The sequence below is a fragment of the Homo sapiens genome, chromosome 2 (assembly GCF_000001405.40).
Source record: "Homo sapiens chromosome 2, GRCh38.p14 Primary Assembly".
Taxonomy (NCBI): domain Eukaryota; kingdom Metazoa; phylum Chordata; class Mammalia; order Primates; family Hominidae; genus Homo; species Homo sapiens.
In genome coordinates, this window is record NC_000002.12 from 32,553,074 (window position 1) to 32,580,155 (window position 27,082).

Below are 27,082 nucleotides of genomic sequence, written 5' to 3' on the forward strand. Positions count from 1 at the left end.
GTAATCCCAGCTACTTGGGAGGCTGAGGCAGGAGAATCGCTTGAACCCAGGAGGGGGAGGTTGCGGTGAGCCGAGATGGCACCACTGCACTCCAGCCTGGGTGACAAGAGTGAAACTCTGTCTCAAAAAAAAAAAAAAAAAAAAAAAAAAAAAAAAAAAAAGATAAATTCCTGATATTTCATCTTTTTGAATTTACTGTTTCTAGCAAAAGATTTTTGTGACTAACAGTAGTTTTCCTACTCTTTTGACCTCTTTTTGTAGATCTTAAAATGGGTGGAGAGGAAAATTTAGATACGTAAATGAATGGAGACTTATTTTTTTATTTTATTTTTGAGACAGAGTCTCATTCTGTCGCCCAGGCTGGAGTGCAGTGATATGATCTTGGCTCACAGCAACCTCCGCCTCTCGGGTTCAAGCAGTTCTCATGCCTCAGCCACCCGAGTAGCTGGGACTGCAGGCACCCGCCACCCACCCTGCTAATTTTTTTTGTATTTTGAGTAAAGACAGGGTTTCACCACGTTGGCCAGGCCGGTCTCGAACTCCTGACCTCAAGTGATCCGCTCACCTCGGCCTCCCAAAGTGGTGGGATTACAGACAGGCATGAGCCACAACCCAGCCTGTAAATGAATGGAGACTTTAAAAAAAAGCGTTTGGTGGCATTACAGCAGAAACATAAATCTTCATATTTAGGCTAAATTAATCAGATTTATCAAAGGTTAACATTATGGTTCCAGTTACTCAAAATAGTAAGTTTGATGCTTTAATAATTTGTTTCTTATTGCTTACTAAAATAAAGACATCTGTTAGTGTTCTAGATAGGAAAATATATTATTTGTTCATTTTAATTTCTTTCTCAACATTTTCACTTCCACTTTTCATAAGAAATGGTATTCTGAAAGTTGCGTTTTGTAGGCCACAATCATTTTTTCTCTAGCCCTTGTATAGTATGGAGTTACCCCTCTGGCCACTAGATGGAGATCCTGTTTCATTTTAAGAAGTATTTGGTAATATTCACATGTTAATGTTAACAGGCAGAATGTTACTTTAGAGACCCTCACCTATTTTAGAAAATAGTATGTTCCTTTTTTGAGAAGAGAGCATATTAAGTCTCAGCACACATTAAATTATTTGCCATTAACTTAGTGGGGTATGCTACAAATTCTTATTGAAATAAATCTTTACCTTTTTAATAGTGGTCTTATTATATGGGGATGAATATTCTTTCAGATTATCAAGGGAAATTGCTGTTATCTGGGTTAATCTGACAATTCACAGATTAGAAAAGAACAAATGAAATCTAGAGAAATGTATTCAGTTGCTCAAGTTTAACTGGTTAGTAACGTGGTGATTATTAAACTCACTTATTTTCAAGTTGAAAAGCAAGATATAAATGGATTTTGTCATTATGAAAAATAAAAATGAGTAAGTGATGTGTTAGAGTAAGGTAGACATGAGAGAGCAGGCACAGGACTTCATTGGGAAAATTATAAAGTATCTACTGAATTGGCTGGTTATCTTAGTTAAATGATGTTATATACTAGGATTAAAATTTTTAATTTCCCTAATATTGGTTTGACAGTTTTATAACAAACTATAATGTGTCAAAACCCATTACTGCATTTTGATATACCATCTGATTTTTCTCACAGTGTATTTTGTATGTTTAAAGCTCTTTTTTTTTTACTTTATGTTACCTTTGGATATGTTTCTTTAAGAGTAGGTATTTAATTTCATAAGTATACTGTTTGAGAATAAGGTTAATTCTGTTGTCACGACAAATATCTTAATTTAAATATGACCATATTTATTAAATTTGAATTACTTAGTAGTTACATCAAAGTAAATGTGCAGTTGGAAACCTAGCCATCTTGCTAGGTCTCAGGGCTCTCCAAATTAAAAAGGACATAGAAATTGTATTAGTGCTCTTACAGGAAAAGATAAGGTTTGATACCAATAGAAAATACATAATTTTTATTATTTATAAAAATACTTTATTTTGTTGATATACACTGCCTGAGAAACAAATAATGAAAAATTGTCGAGCTGTCGTAACATGATACTTAACTGTATATCCTTATTTATAGTTTTCATGGTAATAGTTCATATGAAACTGTCAAATTATGCCATTTCTTTGTACTGTTTTAATAAAGAGTCTGGGAGCTGTGGTGGTGGTTCATGCCTGTAATCCCTTTGGGAGGCCAAGATGAGAGGATTGCTTATGCCCACGAGTTTGAGATCAGCCTTGGCAACACAGTGAGACTTCATCTCTATTAAAAACTAAAATAGGCCGGGTGAAGTGGCTCAAGCCTATAATCCCAGCACTTTGGGAGGCCGACCCGGGCAGATCATGAGGTCGGGACATCGAGCCCAGCCTGACCAACACGGTGAAACCCCGTCTCTACTAAAAATACAAAAATAGCCGGGTGTGGTGGCGCATGCCTGTAATCCCAGCTACTCAGGAGGCTGAGGCAGGAGAATCGCTTGAAACCCCAGAGGCCGAGGTTGCAGTGAGCCACAACACTCCAGCCTGGGCGACAGAGCAAGACTCCATCTCAAAAAAATAAAAAAATAAAAATAAAATAATCTATCAGATTATTCTACTAATTAGAGTAGCAGGCCAGGTGTGGTGGCTCACATCTGCAATCCCAGCACTTTGGGAGGCTGAAGCGTGAGGATCACCAGCCTGGGCAACTTAGACCCTGTCTCTACAAAAGAACAAAAAATCAACACTCGCCTGTAGTCCCAACTACTCGGGAAGTGGGATCCCAGGAGGGCGAGGCTGCAGTGAGCCGTGATCATACCACTACACTCCAGCCTGGGTGTCAGAGTAGACCCTATCTCAAAAAAAAAAAAAAAAAAAGGTAGAGTAACCTGCCACTTTATTTTTAGCCCAAAGTATATTTTAATAGTATTTTAATATGGCTCTAGTTTTTGTGACAGTTAGCTGAGCAGTACCAATAAAAATTAAAACACTTGCCTATGTTTAATGTATTTATTTCTATATATGGTCACTAGCAAGGCATGTTGATAGCGACTCAGAGTATCTATAACGTAAGTGCTTATCAACAAATGTTAATTCCTTTTATTTAGAGTTTTCATTTTTGTCAAGGGCATCCAATGTGGAAATGACTTTGGTATAGAATATATGACTCTGTGTTAAATAATTATGACTGGTAAGTTTTATAAGGGGAGGACAGGTTGCTTAAATTAAAATTTAGATGGGTTTTGAATTGCTTTGATTTGTACAGATTTGTAAAGTTAAAGTATTAGTTCACATCTCAGACACTTCAGGGATACCATTCTTGACTACCCAGCGTAGTCCTTTCTCTCCTATGAGCTGCTCACGTACCTAATCCTTATATTGTCACCTTTCACACTGTAGTCCAGCTATTAAGAAAAGCTTAATCAGATTTCCACATAACTACCTACCAGATTAGCCATAACTCTCCATTTCTTCTATGAAACATCCCAGTTAAGAGTGAGCTGTGTTTGTTTCCAGATTTGTTTATGCCAGTTGTATTTCCGCTATATAATTGTTTTGCAAACTAGATGTTTTTATGGTAAATCATGAAATGCTTTAAAAAAGTCCTACAGGCCAGGCTCGGTGGCTCAAGCCTGTAATCCCAGCTCTTTGAGAGGCCGAGGTGGGTGGATCACCTGAGGTCAGGAGTTCGAGCCCGGCCTGGCCAACATAGCAAAACTAAAAATACAAAAATTAGCCGGGTGTGGTGGACGGGCACCTGTAGTCCCAGCTACTTGGGAGGTTGAGGCACAAGAATTGCTTGAAGCCGGGAGGCAGAGGTTGCAGTGAGTCAAGAACGAGCCACTGCATTCCAACCTAAGTGACAGAGCAAGACTCCATCTCAAAAAACAAAAAGAAAGAAAGAGTTACTCCAGTTTACTTAGAGAATATATTAAAATGTTAACAATGGTAGTTTTATTTTGTATTACCCACATTTATCAGAGAAATAATGTCAATATTTTATTGAAACAAGAAAGTTTCTTTTCTATGTAGTCTTTATTTTTCTATGTGGCCTTATCTTTACAACTGCTTAACTACCAAAAGTCACGCTAAGGCTCATTTCTTTGGAGTTACTAAAATATAATTTCCAAAGACAGTTTTTAAAATATTCAGTGTTCATTAATGCTAACTAAAACTTCATTTTTCTAAACATTTTCATAGTCTTCTTTCCTATACTGACTAAATTTCCCTTTCCTGTATTCAGTAGATTACTAGAGGCTTAAGGAAAACACAAACCTAAATGCAGTTTTATTTTAATTAATGTGTATTTTATATGTACTCTTAGAAAAATGGTTGTAGCATTTTTGCTGTTGTGTCTTGTATACGTTACTAAATCTTGTATGTTTTGGAGTAGTCCATCTTCAGTGTCCATATTCATTGCTTTGTCCTGTTTTTTTCCTCTGTGTAAAGTTAAAATTTACCTGTTTGCTTTGTTATAATTTTATTCCTCAAACTGGAAGCATCATATAGTAATTGCTCTTAGAGCAAGGGAGTTACCCTGGGATGTATGTCTTAATATTCTGGAGGTGTGCTTTTAAAGGATAGTTTCTAAATCTTTCTTGTTAGAGCCAGGTTTTGCCCTGAATGCAGTCCCTTGAACGAGACCTTCAGAGTGTGGTATGGATGTAGACCAAAACAATCACTAAGAGGTTAAGTACTGTTCCAGCTATACCTAACATAGTCAAGATAGATTCTTCTTTTTCTTCTCTTCTTGCTTCTTAACATCTTCTGCTGTAGTGATGACAGAAGTACCAGTTTTCCCAGAAAATGTCTTCATCTAGAGAAAAAGAGAATGATTGTGAAGCAAATTGCTAGAAAATGTATTTATTACAAATACTAGTACATACTAGAAAATTGCTAGAAAATACTAGTAAATACTAGAAAATTGCTAGAAAAGAAATACTAGCTAGTAAATACTAGAAAATGTATTTACTAGCAGAGAGCTAGTAAATGTATTTATTATACATGTTGCATTTCTTGCGTAGTTTTTCAGTGTGCAGTCCTACTTTAGTCTGTTAACGTGTTGGAAAATGATAGTAAATGAGTGTATTTTAATAGAATTTAAAATCTGTTGTTTTTAACATTTGGGCTGAAGAGCCGAAAATATAATGAAAATGTAGAAGTTAGATTCTGCCATTTACGTATTCTGTATTTACTTAGATACTTAAAAATTTTTACGTATCTAACTAGGCTGATGTATTTAATGTGAACTGCAATTTATATACAAAAAACTACACATACTTAGTGTATACAATTCGGTAAGTTTAGAACATCAACTCCTTTTTAAAGCAACTCTTTTGGGGAGCAGTTGAGCAGAATAGGGATTTAAATAATTTTTTCCTTTGAAGATTAGAGGATCATTGTGTCATTAATTTTATAATCTAGTATTGAAATTAATTCCATTTTACTAATATTTTGAAAAAGCAATTAATAGCAGAGTTTATCTCTTAATAAAAGATTTATTTCCACAGATTAAACACATCACATATTTAAGCTTAAAATAATGGAGTTACTAAATGTCAGAGTTTTAAAATAATTAAAAGAGAAGTGCTGCTTACCCTACATTGCATCAGGAGTAAAGTGTTATCAGATATGTTGCTTTAGTCCACAATAGTGATGAATGAACCTTTTCTCTTCACGGAGGGCTTGTGAACAAAAGCTGAACAAGCTTCATATCAAAGATGGCAAATGTTTTCAGTATATCCTGAAGGGATGTATCTTCGCTGTTAGTAATCTGTGGTAAATTTCACTGTAACTATTTGATGTAAATTGCTAGCCTCTGCAAGTAAGTCACACTGTAAATAGGCTCTATTTTTTAGTTTTTTTAGGTTTTTTATATGCTGAATCACATATTTCCTCCAAAATGCTAATGTTTATGGTTATTTCTTTTGAATTTTCTGTCTGATGAACCTTTACACTGTTCTTTTTCTTTTCAGCTGTTTGAAGATACTTTTCCCCATTGAAATGTTTTAGTTCCAAATGCAGAAAGTGATTTTATTCCTCTCCCTACTACCAGTTACTACTATAAAAATGAAAAAAATTGTTTATTGGCATAAGTTTTGTAATGTCACACACCCGCATCTGTAGCTGTTGATGACAATTCCAAGATAGTCTTCAAGCTATGCATAAATCAGCAAACAGGCCCTTTTGAGGATTGGAAGGATAGTGACTTCACTTGCCTGGTTGTAAGCTGTAACACTGATTAAACATGCATTTGGTGCTTGCTGAGTAAAGGAGCTGCAAGCTGCACTTGGAGACATGGTGTTGCATAACAGCGTGTTGTGCCTCTGTTCTTTGTCAGGCAGGCGCACATTGAATCCTGTAATAACAATGAAGTATGTGTAAAGGAGCTAAATTTGAAGACATCTAAGGGTTTTCTGATGAAGCTCTTCATGGCAAAAATAGAATGAAAGAATTCAAGATTGAAGTAGTTTTTATGTTGTTTTGTGCTTTAACAGGCAGGTTTTTATTAAGGGTTTATTATCTTTATCCATTCTTGTTGCTTGCTGACCACCGGTACACATTAATTTACAATAAAAGCACATGTCTTAAAAGGAGAGCATAAATCAGCTCTACATTAGTTTTCCAAGTTCTCCTCTTGGTTGGGGGGGTCTTCAAAATCTTTAAAAAAAAAAAAAAAATAAGGCCGGCACAGTGGCTCACACCTGTAATCCCAGCACTTTGGGAGGCCAAGGCCGGTGGATCACCTGAGTTCAAGGGTTTGCCTGGCCAACATGGTGAAACCCTGTCTCTACTGAAAATACAAAAAAATTAGCCAGGTGTAGTGGCGGGTGCCTGTTATCCCAGCTGCTTGGAAGGCTGAGGCAGGAGAATTGCCTGAACCCGGGAGGCGGAGGTTGCAGTGAGCCGAGATCACGCCACTGCACTCCAGCCTGGGCAACAGGGTGAGACTTCATCTCAAAAAAATAATGACAACAATAATAATAAATCCGATATAAATAACACATGTCAGGTTCCAGACATAGGCATAGATTGTCATATGCATTAATATAGAATTTGACTTAAAGAAAAGCATACTTACGTAACTAATGGTTGTCAAGAAAAATACAGAAATACAAAAAACTTGATATTTTTAGTTTAAAATGAAGAAATTTGATATCTTGAGATATTTTTTAAAGTACAGTAATGAAATTTAAAGTTCTTTTTAAAATTTTAAAGATTTTTGTAAAATAAACACACAATTTTATCTCTCACATTTTTTGGACTATTCCCAGTCTCGTGTGCCAGTGCTTATTATTACCTTGTTTTGCTAGCTTTTGCCTTCATACTCCTTGATATGAAGAGAATATCTTCTTCTATTTCCATAATGTAAGATTCCCAGTTGGCCTCTCCTAATGCTAACTCAATAGAGTAAAATATATACCAGTTAAATAAGAGGGAATAGCATGTTTCATTTATTTCAGAGGAGCTGTGTTGTTTTCTCTATGCCCTTTTGTTTACATGTGAATATAATGTAACTATATATTTTTTCTTTTTTCTTCTTCAGTCATAGTCTTCTCTGCCACCCGGGCTGGAGTGCAGTGGTGTGCTCATAGGGCACTGCAGCCTTCAATTCTTAGGCTCAAACATCCTCCTGATTAGCTGGGACTACAGGCACCTGCCACCATGCCCAGCTAAGTTTTAAAATTTTTTGTAGAAATAGGTTCTCATTATGTTGCCCAGGCTAGTTTCAAAACTCCTGGCCTTAAGCAATCCTCTTGTCTCAGCCTCCTGAGTCACTGGGATTGCATACATAAGCCACTGTGCCCGACTTTTTTTTTTTTATGCAACATCTCGTGCTTTATAAATTGACCTGCAAGTAGGCCGGGGGCGGTGGCTCACACCTGTAATCCCAGCACTTTGGGAGGCCGAGGCGGGTGGATCACGAGGTCAGGAGGTCGAGACCAGCCTGGCCAACATAGTGAAACCCCATCTCTACTAAAAATACAAAAATTAGCCGGGCGTGGTGGCACGTGCCTGTAGTCCCAGCTACTTGGGAGGCTGAGGCTGGAGAGTAACTTGTACCCGGGAGACAGAGGTTGCAGTGAGCCGAGACCATGCCATTGCACTGCAGCCTGGGTGACGGAGTGAGACTACATCTCAAAAAAAAAAAAATTGACCTCCAAGTAACATACTTTTTTTTTTTTTTCTTTTTTCTTTTTTTGAGATGGAGTCTAGCTCTGTTGCCCAGGCTGGAGGACAGTGGCACGATCTTGGCTCACTGCAACCTCCACTTCCCAAGCTCAAGTGATTCTCCTGCCTCAGCGACCTGAGTAGCTGGGTCTACAGGCGTGTCAGCACGCCTGGTTAATTTTTGTATTTTTAGTAGAGGCTGGGTTTCACCATGTTAACCAGGCAGGTCTGCAACTTCTGACCTCAAATGATCTGCCCACCTCGGCCTCCCAAATATCTGGGATTACAGGCATGAGCCACTGTGCCCGCTCATGAGTGATATACTTTCTAATTAGTATTCATTAATTATGAAATTTGAAATCGTTCGATTTCATTTTATTTTGATTTTTTTTTAGTTGTAAATTATATTCAAGGTTTTTTTTGAACCTAAAGTTTTTTTTAAAGTTTCTGGGATTATCTTTTATGTTTATATGAAGAAATAATGCTTTAATCATGTATATATATATATATATTTATTTATTTATTTCTAGATTTTGCTGGGGGCAGTGCTCACGCCTATAATCCCAGCGCTTTGGGAGGCTGAGGCGGGCGGATCACGAGGTCAGGAGTTCGAGACCAGCCTGGCCAACATGGTGAAACCCCGTCTTTACTAAAAATACAAAAACTAGCCAGGCGTGGTGGTGGGCCCCTGTAATCGCAGCTACTCGGGAGGCTGAGGCAGGAGAATTGGTTGAACCCGGGAGGTGAAGGTTGCAGTGAGCCGAGATCATGCCATTGCACTCCAGCCTGAGTGACAGAGTGAGACTCCAACTTAAAAAAAAATAAAATTATTATTATTTCTAGATTTTAACAATTGGAATTATCAGTTATATTTGTGCTTGCAAATTTGTGGGATCTCTTTTTCCCCTTCTCTTCCTTATTGAACTTTAGCATGCTAGACTGTCTTCATTATTCATGTATGGAGAAGAAGATTCTCATTTTGTGGTTTTGGTTGTTCTTAATACCTTCATAATAATTTAATTTTTAAAACATAAACATATCTTGTATTACTTGTATTCTTTTATAATTTTATCTAAATTGCTGTTGAGTATTTTTAGGTTCACAGAAAATTGAGCAGATAGTACAGAGTTCCCATATATGCAGTTCCTACTCACAGTTTACTTATTCATATTTTGCATTAGTGTAGTACATATAATTGATGAACTAATAGTGGTATGTTATTTTTAACTAAATTTATAGTTGAAATTCGAGTTCGCTCTTTATGTTCTACAGTTGTGTGGGTTTTGACAAATGCGCAATTTTATGTATTCCACCATGACAGGATCACACAGAAGAGTTTACTGCCCTAAGAAATTCTATTAATCCTGCATCCCTTCCTAATCCCCAGACCTCTGGTAACCACTGTTCTTTGTACTGTCTCCATAGTTGTGCCTTTTTCAGAATGTCATATAGTTGTAATCATAAGATCTAGCCTTTTAGATTGGCTTCTTTCATTTAATAATATACATTTAAGTTTTGTCCATGTGTTTTCATGGCTTGGTGGCTGCTTCCTTTTTTATCGCTGAAAAATATTCCATTGTATGAACATGTAAGTGTTTATTCATTCACCTTTTGAAGAACATCTTGATTGCTTCCTTTTTTTGGCATTTATGAATAGATCTGCTATAAACATTCACATACAGATTTTTATTCCCAGTTTTGTTTCACTGATCTATTTGTTTATTCTTTCGTGAGTACCACATTGTCTTAATTGTCGCAGCATTATAGTCAGGTGGTCAAGTCATATAGTGTCAGTCCTCTGACTTTGTTCTTCAATGTTGTGCTGGCTATGCTACGTATTTTGCCTTTCCATAGAAACTTAATCATTTGATTGATAGCCACAAAATAACTTGCTGGGGTTTTGGTTGGAACAATGTGTCCTCTGTTCTGTTTCTCTTTGTATGTTACATGAAGAGGGTTGAGAACGGTGAAATACTATGTGCACTACTTTGCTAAATGAGTTTATAAAGCAGTGCAAATGGTAATCTTTGGGTACCTGGCTATATTTTTATCAGTATAAATTCTGATTTTTCAAATATTTCGATGTAGACAGGGAAATCATTCAAAACTGTGGATTCCATTCCAGCAGATGTAGCTAAAATGGGGGGGCAGGAGAAAACTGTGGAATAGGGAAGGTTTTTTCTAAGGCTTCATTATTGTGCCAGTCTCAAGTTGAAAAGAGGCTACATGATTGTACATTCAAGTCTTATGTTTTCCTATATTTGAAAAATAAAAACATTTATAAAATATATGCAATGTTTACTGGGTGCTTTTCCTCGTATTAGTGTTTTAAAGCAATTGAAGAAAATAAATATTTCAGTATAAAAAGGAGCAAATGTATATGAATAAGTACTTAAGAGAAAAAAATTTTAGTGACAGCTTTAATGGTTGATAATTCGGTACCCTTCAGTTCACCCATTTAAAGTATACAATTCATTGATTTTTATTATAGTCACAAATGTGTACAACTGTTACCAAAGTGAATTTGATAATTTTTTTTTTTCACCTCATAAAGAACCCTGTACCCTTGGCCAGGCACATTTGCTCATGCCTGTAATCCCAGCACTTTGGGAGGCCCAGGTGGGCGGATCACTTGAGGTCAGGAGTTCGAGACCAGCCTGGCCAACATGGTGAACCTTGTCTCTACTAAAAATAAAAAAATGAGCCGAGTGTGGTGGTGGGCGCCTGTAATCCCAGCTACTTGGGAGGCTAAGACAGGAGAATCGCTTGAACCCGGGAGGCGGAGGTTGCAGTGAGCTGAGACTGTGCCATTGCACTCCAGCCTGGGCAACAAGAGTGAAACTCTGTCTCAAAAAACAAAAAACAAACAAACCCTGTACCCTTTAGTTATCATCTTCCATCCCCTCATCTTCTCTAGCACTAAGCGGCTGATAATCTACTTTCTATCCTTATATAGAGTTGCCTTTTCTGAATATTTTATGTAAATTGGATCATATAATATGTGGTCTTTTTAAATTGGCTTTTTCCATGCAGCAAAATGTTTTCAGGGTTTATTGATGTTGAATGTATCAGTAGTTGATAACTTCTTCGGGCTGAACAACATTCCATTTTATGGCTGTGTACTACATTTTGCTTTTCCATCAGTTGATGTCTATTTGTTTTTGCATTTTGGCAGTTGCAAAAATGTTGCAGTGAGCATTAGCATACAAATATCTATTGGTGTTTCTGCTTTGAATTCCTTTGGTAATATACCTAGGATGGAATTGTTGAGTTACATGGATTACCTGACTTTTAAAATTACAATAATCTTACTGGGTGTGAGATGGTATCTCATTGTGGTTTTAATTTGCATTTCTTTGATGACTAAGTATGTTAAGCATATTTTCATGTGTTCATTGACTATTCACCTATCCTTTCCAGAGAAATATCTTTTCAAATTCTCTGCCCCATGAGTGGGGGCTGGCTAGAAGAGGGGATTGAATGTCAACTTCTTAGCCATGTGTACCTTCTAACTTAGCAGCAGGAGGTTGCTGTGGTAGGATGGGAAATGCTGACATCCTGCCCCTCACCCCGCTAGGAAGGCAGGCTTTCAGCTCTGTACTAAGGCATAGCTTTCCAACTTGGACCTCTGGGAGAGGGAGGCCTGTGTTCTTGGCTGTAGCCAGCTAGAGTGGTTTTTCTTTCTCATTGAGCTGAGGGTGGGGAAGAAAGGAGCAGCATCTTGATTCACATACCACAGACTCTTGCTTTTCTTACTGAGTTTTAGTACATTTTCTTGAATAAACGTTTCTTCATTTGCTGCATACTGTTAGGACCACTTCCAGAGATTTTAGATAGTTGTGTTCTTTTAAAGAGTATGTACCAGTTTCACTGGGGATCTGATCTGCAGGGATCTTCCCTCTCATGCTAGCAAGAAAAATTGAGTTCTCATAAACCAAGTAAAATATTCAAGCTTTCCTACTAATTAAATGTTTTAGAACCTTACAGTGGAATATTTTGTATCCATCAAGTTCTTGAAAGTAGAAACCATCTATCTTGATATTGGGTAGAAAGAGGAAGTTAGACACTATGGAGTATCTAGTTTTTATAAAATTCAACACATACCTAAATATACAATATCATGTACTTCTCCCCTATAAGACATATTTTATTAATTAAATTACATCAGGTTTTTCTTAAGTATTCTGTTCTCCACATTTTAAAATTCAAAAGCTTTAAGGTGGTATCTAATAAATAGCTGTTTTCCTGCCTCTGTCCTACCAATAACAGCTCATTAGGGATAAACTATAGTTATCCCTATAGTACTAATCTAACTAATAGTACTAATAGTTACAGATAGTACTAACCAGTGCTACTAATTTCTTATATTTCTTTATAGGAAATCTATGTATAACAAGTAAATATAAATACATATTAGTTCATTGTCACACTGCTATAAAGAACTGCCTGAGACTGGGTGAATTATAAAGGAAAGAGGTTTAATTGACTTATAGTTCTGCAGGGCTGGGGAGGCCTCAGGAGACTTACAATCATGGCAGAAGGGGAAGCAAACATGTCCTTCTTCACATGGCAGCAGCAAGGAAAAGTGCAGAGCAACGCAGTGAGAGCCCCTTATAAAACCATCATATCTCGTGAGAACTCACTATTATGAGGACAGCATGGAGGTAACCACCCCCATGATTCAGTTACCTCCCACTGGGTTCCTCCCATGACACATGGGGGTTATGAGAACTACAATGCATGATGAGTTTTGGGTGGAGACACAGCCAAACCATATCACATAGTCTCCCTCTTTTTATGTTTTTGTTATTTGTGTTTTGTTTTATGTTTACCCAAATAATCATTTATTTTTTATTAACATTTATGGGTTATGTTTACCATATAACCCATTTTTATACCTTACTGTCCTATCCCCACCCCAAAATGACATTATAGTACTTGCGAATTTGCTCCAGTACAGCATAAAGCATATTCTAATTTTTTATGGCTACATAATGGGCATTTAGTAATTAAAACAGTTGCATATTAATAAACATAAATAGGTTCTTTTTTGAGATAAGGTCTCACTCTATGTCCCAGGCTAGAGTGCAGTGGTGTAATCATGACTAACTGCAGCTTCCCATGCCCGGCTAATTTTTTAAATTTTATACAGACAGGATCTTGCCCAGGCTTGGAGTACAGTGGTGTGATTATGGCTCACTGCAGCCTCGACCTCCTGGACTCAAGTGATCCTGCCACTTCAGCCTCATGAGTAGCTGAGACTACTGGCGGGCACTACCACACCTGGCTAATTTTTAAAATTTTGTGTAGAGATTGGGTCTTTCTGTATTGCCTAGGCTGGTCTTGAGCTCCTGGGCTCTAGCGATGCTTCTGCCCCAGCCTTCCAAATCCTGGGATTATAGGCATGAGCCACTGCATCCAGCTCACATATTTTTTTAATTGACATTTTTATTCTGTTGTATATGCCCATTGTAAATATGATATACCTGTTTATTGAGACTATCATCTCTGTCCTGCAGCATAGATATTTTCATCATAAGTTTTTTTGTGTATTTTTGTTGTATTTCCTATTGTGCAGTTTCTCTATTTTACAGTTGATTGTTATATAAAATTAACAGTATTCATTTATGTGAATTTTGCATCCACATACTTTAGTATTCTAATAGTATTTCTGTGGATTTACCGTATTTTCCAAATAGAGAATCAGTTTTCTGAGAATGAAGACATTACTCTTTTCCCACTTCTTTTTTTGTTTGTTTGTTTTGAAACAGAGTCTCTGTTACCCAGGCTAGAGTACAGTGGCATGATCTTGGCTCACTGCAACCTCTGCCTCCAGGGTTCAAGCGATTCACCTGCCTCAGCCTCCCGATTAGCTGGGATTACAGGCGCACACCACCACACCTGGCTGTTTTTGTATTTTTAGTAGAGACTGGGTTTTGCCATGTTGGCTAGGCTGGTCTTGAACTCCTGATCTCAGGTGATCCACCTGCCTCGGCCTCCCACACTGCTGGGATTACAGGCGTGAGCCACCACACCTGGTCTACCCACTTCTTATGCTTTTTTAAAAAAATGTTTTTCTTTTGGGGAATCCCCATATCCACATACCTTTCCTGGCTTGTATTTATAAAACAGAATGTCAGGAATTTGTCTCTTGAAGATGCTACTTTCCAAAAGAATTTTTTGTTGTGATGAAAACACTCTGTATCTGTGCCATTCATTAAGGACTTGTGTGGCTATGGGACACTTGAAATGTGGTTAGTGCAACTGAAGAACTGAATTCTTAGTTTTCTTACATTTTAGTTAAAATTTAGATAGCGTGTGGCCAGTAGCTGCCATACTGGACAGTTCAGGAAGTATCATGGGATAATGGGAAAAGCACTAAAGCTAAATGTACCAAGTTTTCACTGTTGGTCTTCTTACTTCCTATTTAGCTGCTTGTGCAACTTAGTAAATATTAGTTTCTCATACACACAGTGGGGATGATAATACCTAATCCACATAATAGTACACACAGAGAAACATCATCATATAGAAAATGGATTAGATGGATGTATACCAAAATGATGTACCAGGTAAAAGAGTGGGGAAGGAGGCCGGGTGTGGTGGCTCACGCCTGTAATCCCAACACTTTGGGAGGTTGAGGTGGGTGGATCACGAGGTCAGGAAATCGAGACCATCCTGGCTAACACAGTGAAAACCCTTCTCTACTAAAAATAAAAATAATAATTAAAAAATTAGCCAGGCATGGTGGCGGGCACCTGTACTCCCAGCTACTTGGGAGGCTGAGGCAGGAGAATGGCATGAACCTGGGAGGTGGAGCTTGCAGTGAGTCAAGATTGTGCCACTGCACTCCAGACTGGGCAACAGAGCGAGACTCCGTCTCAAAAAACAAACAAACAAGAATGGAGAAGGAGAGAAATAGTCAAAAGAAACTATAGCCTTAAAAGGTAAGTTTTATCTTTTTTTTTTTTTTTCAGGATAATCTATTTGAAATATTAATCACTGTAATCGTAACACGTTAGGAGGCCAAGGCAGGTAGATTGCCTGAGCTTAGGAGTTCGAGACCAGCCTGGGCAACATGGTGAAACCCCAACTCTACGAAAAAATAGAAAAAATTAACTGGACATGGTGGCATGTGCCTGTAATCCCAGCTGCTCTGGAATGTGAGGCAGGAGGATCCTTGAGCCCAGGAGGCCAAGGCTACAAAGTGCAATGGTTACACCATTGCACTCCAGCCTGGGCAACAGAGTGAGACCTTGGCGCAAAAAAAAAAAAAAAAAGGAAAATAATATAAATATTAATGTAAAGTTATTTTTTAGAAGTTCACCTTTTTTGGCTGGGCGCAGTGGCTCACGCCTGTAATTTCAGCACTTCGAGAGTTCGAGGCGGGCAGTCACTTGAGATCTGTAGTTCGAGACCAGCCAAGCCAACATGGTGAAACACCATCTTGACCAAAAATACAAAAATTAGTCCGGCATGGTGGCATGCACCTGTAATCCCAGCCACTTGGGAGGCTGAAGCAGGAGAATTGCTTGAACCCTGGAGACAGAGGTTGCAGTGAGCCGAGATTATGTCATAGCACTCCAGTCTGGGCAACAGGAGCGAAACTCAGTCTCAAAAAAAAAAAAAGCACACATTTCTTGCACATAGTGTGAAGTCTGGGGTTTTAGTGTACCCATCACTGGAAGAGTAAACATTGTACCCAGTAGATATTTTTCAAACCCCACTTTTTGGAGGAGTCTCCCATGTCTCTCTCTTTTTTTTTTTTTTTTTGAGATGGAGTCTCCCTCCGTTGCTCAGGCTGGAGTGCAAGTGCAGTGGTGCGATCTGGGCTCACTGCAACCTCTGCCTCCCAGGTTCAAGTGATTCTTGTGTCTCAGCCTCCCGAGTAGCTGGGTTTACAGACACCCACAACGAGGCCCAGGTAATTTTTGTATTTTAGTAGAGATGGGGTTTCGCCGTGTTGACCAGACTGGCCTTGAACTTCTGGCCCCTAGTGATCTCCCCACCTCAGCCTCCCAAAGTGCCGAGATTATAGGCGTGAGCCACCGCACTTGGCCTGTAGTTATTCTTATAGAGACCTTTTACTTCCTTGGTTAAATATATTCCTAGGTATTTTGTTTTAGATTTTATTATTTTATCTTATTTTTAATTTTATTTGACAGGGTCTTGCTCCGTCGCCCAGGCTAGAGTACAGTAGTGCTATCAGAGCTCACTGTAGCCTCGACCTGGTAGGCTCAAGTGATTCTCCTGCCTCAGCTTCCCAAGTAGCTGGGACTACAGGAATGAACCACCACACCTGACTAATTTCCTTTTTGGTTTTTGTAGAGATAAGGTCTTACTATGTTGTTCAGGCTGGTCTTAAGCCCTTGGACCCGAGCTGTCTTCCAGCCTGGACCTCCCAAAGTGCTGTGATTTCAGGCATGAGCCACCACACTTGTTCATTTTTTTTTTTTTCTGTAGCTATTGTAAATGAGATTGCTTTCTTGATTTAATCCTTGGCTAGATGATTATTGGTGTATAGAAACATTACTGGTTTTCATATATTAATCTTATATCCTGAATCTTTATTGAATTCATGTATCAAATCCAAGAGTTTCTCATGGAGTCTTTAGGGTTTTCTAGATCATATCCTCAGCAAACAGGGAAAATGTTGACTTCCTGCTTTTTGAGTTTGAATGCCTTTTTTTTTTCCCTTGCCTGATTACTCTGGCAAGATGTCCAGTACGATGTTGAATAAGAGTGGTGAAAATGAGAACTCTTGACTTGTTCCAGTTCTTAGAGGGAATGCTTTCAGCTTTTTCCCATTAAGTATAGTGTTAGCTGTGGGTTTTTCATATATGGCCTTTATTATGCTGTGTGTTCCTTCTATGCCCAGTTTATTGGGGATTTATATCAATTTTATCACATGCTTTTTCAACATTTATTGAAATGACTATAGAGTTTTTGTCCTTTATTATGTTGTTATGATGTGTCACATTTATGGATTTGTGTGTGTTGAACCATCCTTGTATCCCTGGGATAAATCATACTTGATCATGATGTATTATCTTTTTTTTGTTGTTTATTTTTTAAAAGTTATTTATTTATTTATTTTGAGATCAGCTTGTGAGACTGGCTAATTTTTTTATTTTGGGTAGACACAGGGTTTCACCATGTTGGTCAGGCTGGTCTCGAACTCCTTGCCTCAAGCAATTCACTCACCTTGGCCTCCCAAAGTGCTGGGATTACGGGTGTGAGCTACAGTGCGTGGCCATTTATTTGTTTGTTTGTTTGTTTGTTTGTTTTGAGATGGAGTCTCGCTCTGTCACCCAGGCTGGAGTGCAATGGTATTATCCTGGCTCACTGCAACCTCCACTTTCTGGGTTCAAGCGATTCTCCTGCCTCAGCACCCCCAAGTAGGTGGGACCACAGACTTGCACCACAACACCCGGCTAATTTTTGTATTTTTAGTAGAGATGGGTTTCACCATGTTGGCCAGGCTGGTCTCGAACTCCTGACCTCAGGTTTTCCACCCACCTTGGCCTCCCAAAGTGCTGGAGTTACAGGTGTGAGCCATCACGCTCGGCCTATTTGTTTATTTTTAAGGGTTGAGGTCTTGCTCTGTTGCCCAGGCTAGGGTGCAATGGTGTCATCGTAGCCCACTTTAGCCTCAAACTCCTGGTCTCAAGCAGTCCTCCCACCTTAGCCTCCCAAGTAGCTGGGAATACAGGTTTTTGCCATCACATCTGGCTTATTTTATTTTATTTTATTTTATTTTTGTGGAGACAGGTTTTCTTGCTCTTTTGACCTTGCTTGTCTCGATCTCTTGGTCTCAAGTGATCCTCCTGCCTCAGCCTCCCAAAATGTTGGGATTACAGGTGTGAACCACCATGCCATTATTGTATTATCTTTTTGATGTGCTGTTGGATTTGATTTACTTGTTTTTTGTTTTGGATTTTTGTGTCTGACTTTATTAGGGATATTGGTCTTTAGTTTTCTGCTTTTATTATATCTTTGCCTGGTTTTGGTATCAGCATATTACCGGCCTCATAAAATGAGTTAGAGAGAATAAACTCCTCCTTAATTTTTTTAGTTTTGGGAGGACTTGTATCAGTATGTTGTTTTTATATTTGGTAGAATTTGGCTGTGAATTCATGTGGTCCTGGGCTTTTTTTTTTTTTTTTTTTTTTTTGTTGGGAGATGTTTTATTATGATTGAATCTCACTGCTTGTTATTAGTTTGTTTAGAAATTCAGTTTGTTTCTTGTTCAATCTCAGGAGGTTGTATGTTTCCAGGAATTTACTTGTTTCCTCTAGGTTTTCTAGGTTGAGTGTAGAGTTGATCATAATAGTCCCTGATCTTTTGTATTTCTGTAGTATCAGTTGTATTCCTTTTTCATTTCTGATTCTGTTTATTTGGATCTTCTCTCTTCTTGGTTAGTCTAGCTAATAGTTTATCAGTTTTGTTTATCTTTTCGAAAACCAGCTTTTCAGTTTGCTGATGCTTTGTATATTTTTGTTGTGGGGGGCTGTATTTCATTTAGTTCTGTGTTATTCTAACTTTGGGTGTGGATTGTTCTTACTTTTCTAGTTCCTTGAGGTACATGTAAGATTGTTGATTTGTTACCCACTTTCTGATGCAGGCTTTTAAGGCTATACACTTCTCTCTCTTTGCACTGCATTTGCTATATCCCACAGTTTTTCTGATGTTGCGTTTCATTTTCATTCATTTCAAAAAATTTTTAAATTTGCCTTAATTTCTTTGTTGACCCAGTGATCATTCAGTATCATGCTGTTTAATTTCCATGTATTTGTACTGCTTCCAATGTTCCTGTTGGTATTGTTTTCTAGCTTTATTCCACTGTGGTCTTGAGAAGATACTTGATATGATTTCGATTTTCAAAAATTTTGTTAAGACTCCTTTTATGGACTAACGTGGTCTGTCTAGGAGAATGTTTCATGTGTTGGTGAAAGGAATGTATATACTGTCATTGTTGAGTAGACTGTCCTACGTCTGTTAAGTCCATTTAGTCCAAAGTCCAATTTAAGTCCAATGTTTTCTTTGTTAATTTTCTGTCTCAATTATCTTTCTAGTGCTGTGAGTTGGGTGTTGAAGTCTCCCACTATTATTGTATTACTGTGAATGTTATTGTTTGATTATGGTATTACTGGTAGATCATTTCCAGCTTTCCCTATTGAAAACAGTATTGTATTGAACATTTCTTTGTAGGGTAGACAGTAACAAGTGCTATTATTGAGTCATAGAATATAGGCATTTAAAATTTTAATAGATAATGCCAGTTGGCTATACCTGTTTGCGCTTTTACCTATATGTGAGTCTAGCTTTTCCACATCCTCACAAGTACTGACATTGTGTTTTATGCCTATCAGTTAGTAACTTTTGGATATAATTTTGATTTTCCTGAATAACATAGTATCTTATAATACTATAAAATTATAGTAAGTAGGATGTTGTGACATTGTTCATGGGTTGGAAAATGGGCTTTCATACTCAAGTATATGTGGAAACAAGGGGAAACAAGGAAAGAATGGCAGTCATACTACCCTGTCCTCTGCATCATCACTGGAAGGTGTAAAATGACCTTCTCTTCCATCACTTTGAACGTCACTCCAAGTAGCCTCACTGTCATTAAGCTCTGATAGTCTCTATTTTACATCAGTTGTAGAGATCTCTTTCACATCAGTTACCATACAAAGTACAGGATGCTAGGTGATGCCACATCCTGTTACAACTTAATCCCCATATAGCTCTGTGGGCACTGAGGCAATTCCTACCTCTAGTTGGACTCCCACAATTCTCCTCCCCTGCTTTAGTTTTCTATATAGCATTCAGAATACTTACTAGCTTCTGAAAAGAATGTAACTCATGTCCTTCGCCTAGAATGTTAGATACTTGATGGTAGAGATTTTTGTTTGTTTTCTTTACTGCTTATTCCCAGCCTGTCCAGCAACAGGTTTTCAGTAAATGTTTTTTGTTTGTTTGTTTTTGAGACTGTCTTGCTCTGTCACCCAGGCCGGAGTGCAGTATGTGGTCTCAGCTCACTGCAGCCTCCGCCTCTTGAGTTCAAGCGATTCTCCTGCCTCAGTCTCCTGAGTAGCTGGGATTACAGACCTGTGCCGCCATGCCTAGCTAATTTTCGTATTTAGTAGAGACGGGGTTTCACCATGTTGGCCAGGCTGGTCTCGAACTCCTGACCCCCGGTGATCCATCAGCCTCAGCCTCTCAAAGTGGTGAAATTGCAGGTGTGAGTCACCGCGCCCTGCCAGTAAATGTTTATGGAATGGCTGTTCAGTAACTGTCATTGGAAGAGAGATGTTAGATCCTTATCTCACGTTATTCACAAAAGTAAATTCCAGTTGGTATACAACACAAAACCCAACAAAACAACTTATAAAAGCCTTAGAAGCAACGTGTGTTCCTCGAGTAAGGAATTCACTCTTAGATACAAATAATTTTAATACAAAATTCATTTGATTTATAGCTAGTAATTGGAAGTTAACATAGGCAATATTTTCTTTTTTACTAAAAAGAAAGTTGATTTATTGAAATAGACTCTGGATAAATTGCAATTCTGTCATTCGTTTTCACAAAAGATAAAATAACTTCATCATTCAATTTAGTTTAAAAAAGTTTCCACTTCATACTGATAAATATGTTTCCAGCCATAATATATTATCTGGTGTATTTAATCATTTCTATATGTAATATAACTAGATATTTAGTTACATTTCTTGTTCTCCCCTAAACTTGATACTTTACTTTTTTTTGTTTTCCAAAAGTGCCTATTATTATAGTTTGTATATTGGTGCTTCTTAAATATCTGCTGCATTCTTTCATTTAGCAGCTAACCTATTAAGTTGACCCTTGAATAATGCAGGTATTAAGGGTACCAACCCCCACATATTTGAGAATCCAAGTATAACTTTTTCTTTTTTTTTTTTTTTTTTTGAGGCGGGATTTTGCCCTATCACCCAGGCTGGAGTGCAGTGGCATGATCTTGTCCTCCCCAGTTGCAGGGACTACAGGTGTGCGCCACCACGCCCAGCTAATTTTTTGTTATCTTTTTGTAGAGATGGAAGTTTTACCATGTTGCCCAGGCCGGTCTCAAACTCCCAGGCTCAAGTGATCCTCCCACCTTGGCCTCCCAAAGGTCTGGGATTATGGGCGCGAATCACAGTGTCCGGCCCCAAGTATAACTCCTGACTCTTCCAGAACTTAGCTCCTAATAGCCTACTGTTGACTGGAAGCCTTACTGATAATCAATTAACACATTTTGGATGTTGTATGTATTATATACTGTAAGGTAAGGAAAAGAAAATATTAAGAAAAAAATCATAGAAAATATATTTACTGTTCATTAAATGGAAGTGGATCATCATAAAAGTCTTCATACTCAGAGTCTTCATGTTGAGTAGCCTAATGAGGAAGAAGTGATGAGGTTGGTCTTGCTGTCTCAGGCTGGCAGAAAATCTGTATATAAGTGGACTAGTGCAGTTCAAACCTGTGTTGTTCAAGGGTCAGCTGTAATTTTTTTGAGACGGAGTTTCACTCTTGTGGCCCAGGCTGGAGTGCAATGGCATGATCTTGGCTCACTATAGTCTCCGCCTCCCAGGTTCAAACAGTTCTCCTGCCTCAGCCTCCGAGTAGCTGAGATTACAGGCATGCGCCATCCCACCTGGCTAATTTTTGTATTCTTAGTAGAGACAGGGTTTCTACATGTTGGTCAGGCTGGTCTCGAACTCCCGACCTCGGGTGATCTGCCTGCCTCGGCCTCACAAAGTACTGAGATTACAGGCCTGAACCAGCGTGCCCAGCCGGGTCAGCTGTGGACCTTGGTAAGATCCAGGTAAAAGCTACATTCCTGTGGACCTACTTTTATATTGTACATTTGCTCATTTTGTGCTTTTTCTTCTTCTCCTTATAGTTCTGGACATGGCAAGACATGTGCCACTCTATCGGGCACTGCTGGAATTGCTTCGGGCCATTGCTTCTTGTGCTGCCATGGTGCCCCTATTGTTGCCCCTTTCTACAGAGAACGGTGAAGAGGAAGAAGAACAGTCAGAATGTCAAACTTCTGTTGGTACATTGTTAGCCAAAATGAAGACCTGTGTTGATACCTATACCAACCGTTTAAGGTACTATATACAATGTTCATTTCTCTTGAGTTTGCCTCTAACAATGTTTTTAAAATAACTCCATGGGTGTTTTTGTTTTTCAGTGATATGTGCTTTTTAAAAGCATATACACCCTCGGCTGGGTGCGGTGGCTCACACCTGTAATCCCAGCACTGTGGGAGGCCGAGGTGGATGGATCACGAGGTCAGGAGATCAAGACCATCCTGGCTAACATGGTGAAACCCCGTCTCTACTAAAAATACCAAAAAATTAGCCAGGCATGGTGGCGGGCACCTGTAGTCCCAGCTGCTCGGGAGGCTGAGGCAGGAGAATGGCGTGAACCCGGGAGGCAGAGGTTGCAGTGAGCCGAGATCACGCCACTGCACTCCAGCCTGGGTGACAGAGCGAGACTCCGTCTCAAAAAAAAAAAAAGAAAGAAACATGCACACCCTCACACACAAGCAATAAATAAACATACAAAGAAAAAGTATCCACCCAAATTATACACTTAGAAACATTTATTCACAATTGCTTATTCAGTATCTCCCTGTGTGATCTCATAGCTATAGGTATGAAGTTTTTCCCAAATGGTGTCCCATTGTACCTGTTAGACAAATAGATGCTAGTTTCTCACATAATGTTGATGTCAGAGACATCTTTCAGTGTCAATAAATACCACTGACATTGTTCTAAATACTTCAAATTCACCTTTGTATTTAGGTGCTATATTTTATTTAACTATTTATTAGTAGATTTTAGGTTATTTTCAGTTCATAATAACCTCATACATACATCTTTTGGTGCTTGCAGAAATCTCTGCAGATAGAATCTTAGAAGTATAATTCTTAGGTTTATGGATTACTTCTGTTTTATTTTAGAAGTCAAAGGATTCAGTATTTGATGGAATTAAAATAAGTCTTAATGCTTATCTTTAAGGAAAACTGAATTGTTATTTTTAGTTTGTTTACACCTTAGTAGATTCAGAGGATGAGTTCTGTCAAAACTCTTTTTTAAATAACCTAGGAGACCTTTTCCTTTCCCTTGGCAGGATCTGTTCAGTGACCTTTTCCTTTCTCATGGCAGAATCTGTTCAGTGGTTGTCAGTTTATTCCTCAAAGATGGCCTAATTCTGAATTTTGAAGCATTTATACTGTTAATGGAAGTTTACTCCTTTTTCAGTTACCTTTTGAGTAAATTAATGTCATTTACCGTATTTACTGTATTTACTTTGCTTTTTCTCACTTATTTTTTAAGAACCTATGACTTAAGAAATAGTGTAGATCAAAAGATCATAGAGAATTGGTCACTGGAAGAATAATTCTTGTTAGTCTTTGCCTATGAGGGAGAAATCACCTTGTGAAGGAATTCTGACTTTGTTGGCTTAATGTGTTGTCATTATCACTTTATTCATTTATTTTAATAGCTTTTGGCATACAAATGGTTTTTGATTACATGGGTGAATTATATGGTGGTGATGGCTCATTGCCAGGCAGTCAGAATCATAAATTATAGAAAAGATGAAATGAAGAGCCAGTTGGTAGAGATAAAAAGTTGTAGACTCATACAACTCTGTTACTAGTAATGGAAAATGTAAAGGTATATTTTCTTTGATAGTGTGATATTTTTTCTTTTGTAGAGAAGAGAATAGTGTTGTATTTGGTCCCCTCCTATCTTGTGGCCCCCCCCAGAATCTTTCTCACTGGTAACCAAGGAAGCTAGTGTAATAATATAACAATAGTGTGGTATCATAATTGAACTGAACATCTGATTGTCTCATTGAGCTAATGCCTCCTTGAGAAGTGTCTACTAAAACATCTTATTCCCTTCCCTGGCCATCTGTGTTGCTTATTCTTGTAGAATAAACATAGTTTTCAGTATATCAATATGTATAATATATACTGAGCTTTGAAACTGCCATCATGTCTTTTTAGGGGAATCTTGCCCTGTATTTCTGTACCTTACATTTCTGTGTTTTGAGATGACTCTGTTAGCTTATAACTAAAATTGAAAATTTATAAAACCTTGAGTGTTTTTTACCCAGGTATATTTTGTCTTTTAGATGAAAAATTGCATAATGATTTGGAATGTTGTTTTAGGTTTAGCCTTGATTAAAAACAGTATCACACATTTATAGTGTTACAAAGTGAAAATAAAACCAGTAAATAATAATATCCTTCTTTAAACTGTGTATTTCCTTATGCTATAATTTCTATTAGATCCTGCAAAAATGGAGTTATAGAGTATTGAATTCTAAGGTAATTATAGAATATTCTTATTGCAGGAAATTTGGACACCTATAGTGCCTCTTTGGTCTATTTGCTTTTCTTAGCTTAATCTATTTCCTGTTCACATAACACTGTATAATTTTTTGAGAAAGGAATCTTCTTTATAAAAATACACCAGTTAATTCACCATGAAAATTTAATTTCAGATAGAGGATAACTGAGTTTCAATTAACTGGAGCTCTTTATTTTTCTATTTGATTAACCGGATGAAATTATTCCATTTAAATTCTTTTATTCTTCAGCCAGAGAACATTCTTCAGACTTATAAACTATGTACCAACAAAATATGCATGTGAAGATATAATGAGTGTTCGTAAAGCTCATTTCATTAGATTATTTTATCTTTACAGTGACCGTGTGCAGTACATATTTTTAGTAATTCTTTTTACTGATAAACATTATTATATTTTGCATTAAGACTTGAATATACTTTTTCGTTGAAACCCTCATGGTCTCTGCTAATCTGTGCAGCCTCTGTTATAAGACGGCACCGGTAAAGACTAATAATGTTACTACATCTCTACTTTCAAGGTTTACCATATAGAGAATTCATTTTCAGCTTCACAGAGAGAGTAAAATCTATTCTTTTCCAGTTGTCACAACTTAAGATGTATTTTTTTTTCTAACAGAGTTCACAAAATAATCCATTTTTCCCTTACAGTGTATACCCACAGAAAGTGGCCTTAGTTTAATTTTAACACTGACTCAAAGCTCCCCACCCCACCTGTCTGCCTCATTCCCAACTGTATTTCACAAAAATCCTAGAATACTCTGAGAAGAGAATGATTCAGGAAAATGTGTTCTGTTAATGTATCACTTTCAGGGTCTATTTTAGTGTTTTTTGAGGGTTTGGAGCTGTAACTTTAAAAATGCTGTGTATCACGGCCGGGTGCAGTGGCTCACGGCTGTAATCCCAGCACTTTGATAGGCTGACTTGGGCTGATCACTTGAGGCCAGGAGTTCTAGACCAGCCTGTCCAACATAGCAAAACCCATCTCTACTAAAAATACAAAAATTCAGCTGGGTGTGGTGGCACATACCTGTAATCCCAGGAACTTGGGAGGCTGAGGCACGAGAATCACTTGAGCCTGGGAGGTGGGGGTTGCAGTGATCACACCATCACACTCCATTACACTCCAGTCTGGGCAACAGAGGGAAACTCTGTCTCAAAAAATACATACATACATACATACATACATACATACTATGTATCACACACTCAGAAACATTTTACAATATTTCTGTCTCTATTACTGTGAAATCCAAGGGTGAATAAAGTACATGTATTTGGTATGGTTCTTTTTTTAAGTAAGAGAAATCGTAGTTTACTACTTATTTTTATATACCTAATATATATATACACTTAATATATATATATACCTAATATATATATACCTAATATATATATGTATACCTAATATATATATGTATACCTAATATATATATATTAGATAAAGAAAATAGATTCATTGTGTATTCTGCAGATCTCTAGGTAGTGATTGTGGTTGCATATAATGATTTTCATTGAAATGATGTGTATGTTGTATTTGTAATAGAATTTTTACCTTCCTTTTGGGGATGAGAGAAATTAAAGAAAAAGGTCAAGTGTAAAGAGGATGTTAACTGTGACTGCTGAGAATATCCTGTCTATCTTGAAATCTATCCTGAGGCCACTGCCTAAACCCAATTAATTTTGATCTGATAATTCAGAGAATGGAGGAGATTCCATAGGTTTGTGCGCCCCCAAGCCCAAAACCCTTACAAGAGGAGATAAAAAGACATCATTAAGAATCTGGATCCCAGTGCCAGCACTTTGGGAGGCTTAGGTGGGACGATCACTTGAAGCCGGGAGTTCAAGACCAGCCTTGGCAACATAGGGAGACCCTGTCTCTACAAAACATAAAAATAAATTAGTCAATATCGTGGGCTGCACCTGTAGTCCTAGCTGCTCAGGAGGTTGAGGTGGGAGGATCGCTTGAGACTAGGATTTTGAGGTTACAGTGAGCTATGATTTTACCACTGCATTCTATCCTGGGCGACAGAGTGAGACCCACTCTGCATGTGTAAGAACAAAAATAAAGAAAATAAAAAAGAAAGCTGGAAAGGCTTATCATTTACCTTACATTTATCTAATTTGTAACATATTCATGATTATAAGAAATTCATGATTAACACTGATAGGTGAGATCTGGCCTGGTCACAAAATCATTACTGATGCATTCACTTAACAGATTTTTTTTTTAATGTCTGTGGGCACATAACTAGAAAATTGGTCTTCTTTCTAAGGGGCTGACATATAAATGGGGGAAATAATAACCAGGCAGGTTTTTTTTTTTTTTTTTGGACAGAGTCTCGCTCTCTCGGCCAGGCTGGAGTGCAGTGGCTTGATCTCGGCTCACTGCAACCTCCGTCTCCTGGTTTCAAGCAATTCTCTTGCTTCAGCCTCCCGAGTAGCTGGGATTACAGGCGTGTGTCACCACGCCCAGCTAATTTTTGTATTTTTAGTAGAGACGGGGTTTCACCAT

At 37.9% G+C, this 27,082-nt stretch overlaps 1 protein-coding gene and 1 long non-coding RNA gene across 51 annotated transcripts in view; one reads left to right on the forward strand and one right to left on the reverse strand.

Moving 5' to 3' along the window:
- The window catches only part of BIRC6 (baculoviral IAP repeat containing 6), a 261,856-nt gene that overhangs the window by 196,051 nt on the left and 38,723 nt on the right, over nt 1-27,082 (forward strand). For all 50 annotated transcript variants that reach the window (XM_006712055.4, XM_005264451.5, XM_047445167.1 and 47 more), the window contains one exon: nt 22,083-22,293. In XM_006712055.4, coding sequence (XP_006712118.1) covers nt 22,083-22,293 — 211 coding nt within the window. The remainder of the gene's footprint in view (nt 1-22,082; nt 22,294-27,082) is intronic.
- On the reverse strand, nt 4,447-21,745 carry BIRC6-AS2 (BIRC6 antisense RNA 2). The gene is made up of 2 exons (NR_125793.1): nt 21,510-21,745; nt 4,447-4,799 (listed from the first exon to the last, which is right to left on the reverse strand). It is a non-coding gene; the product is annotated as a BIRC6 antisense RNA 2 (long non-coding RNA).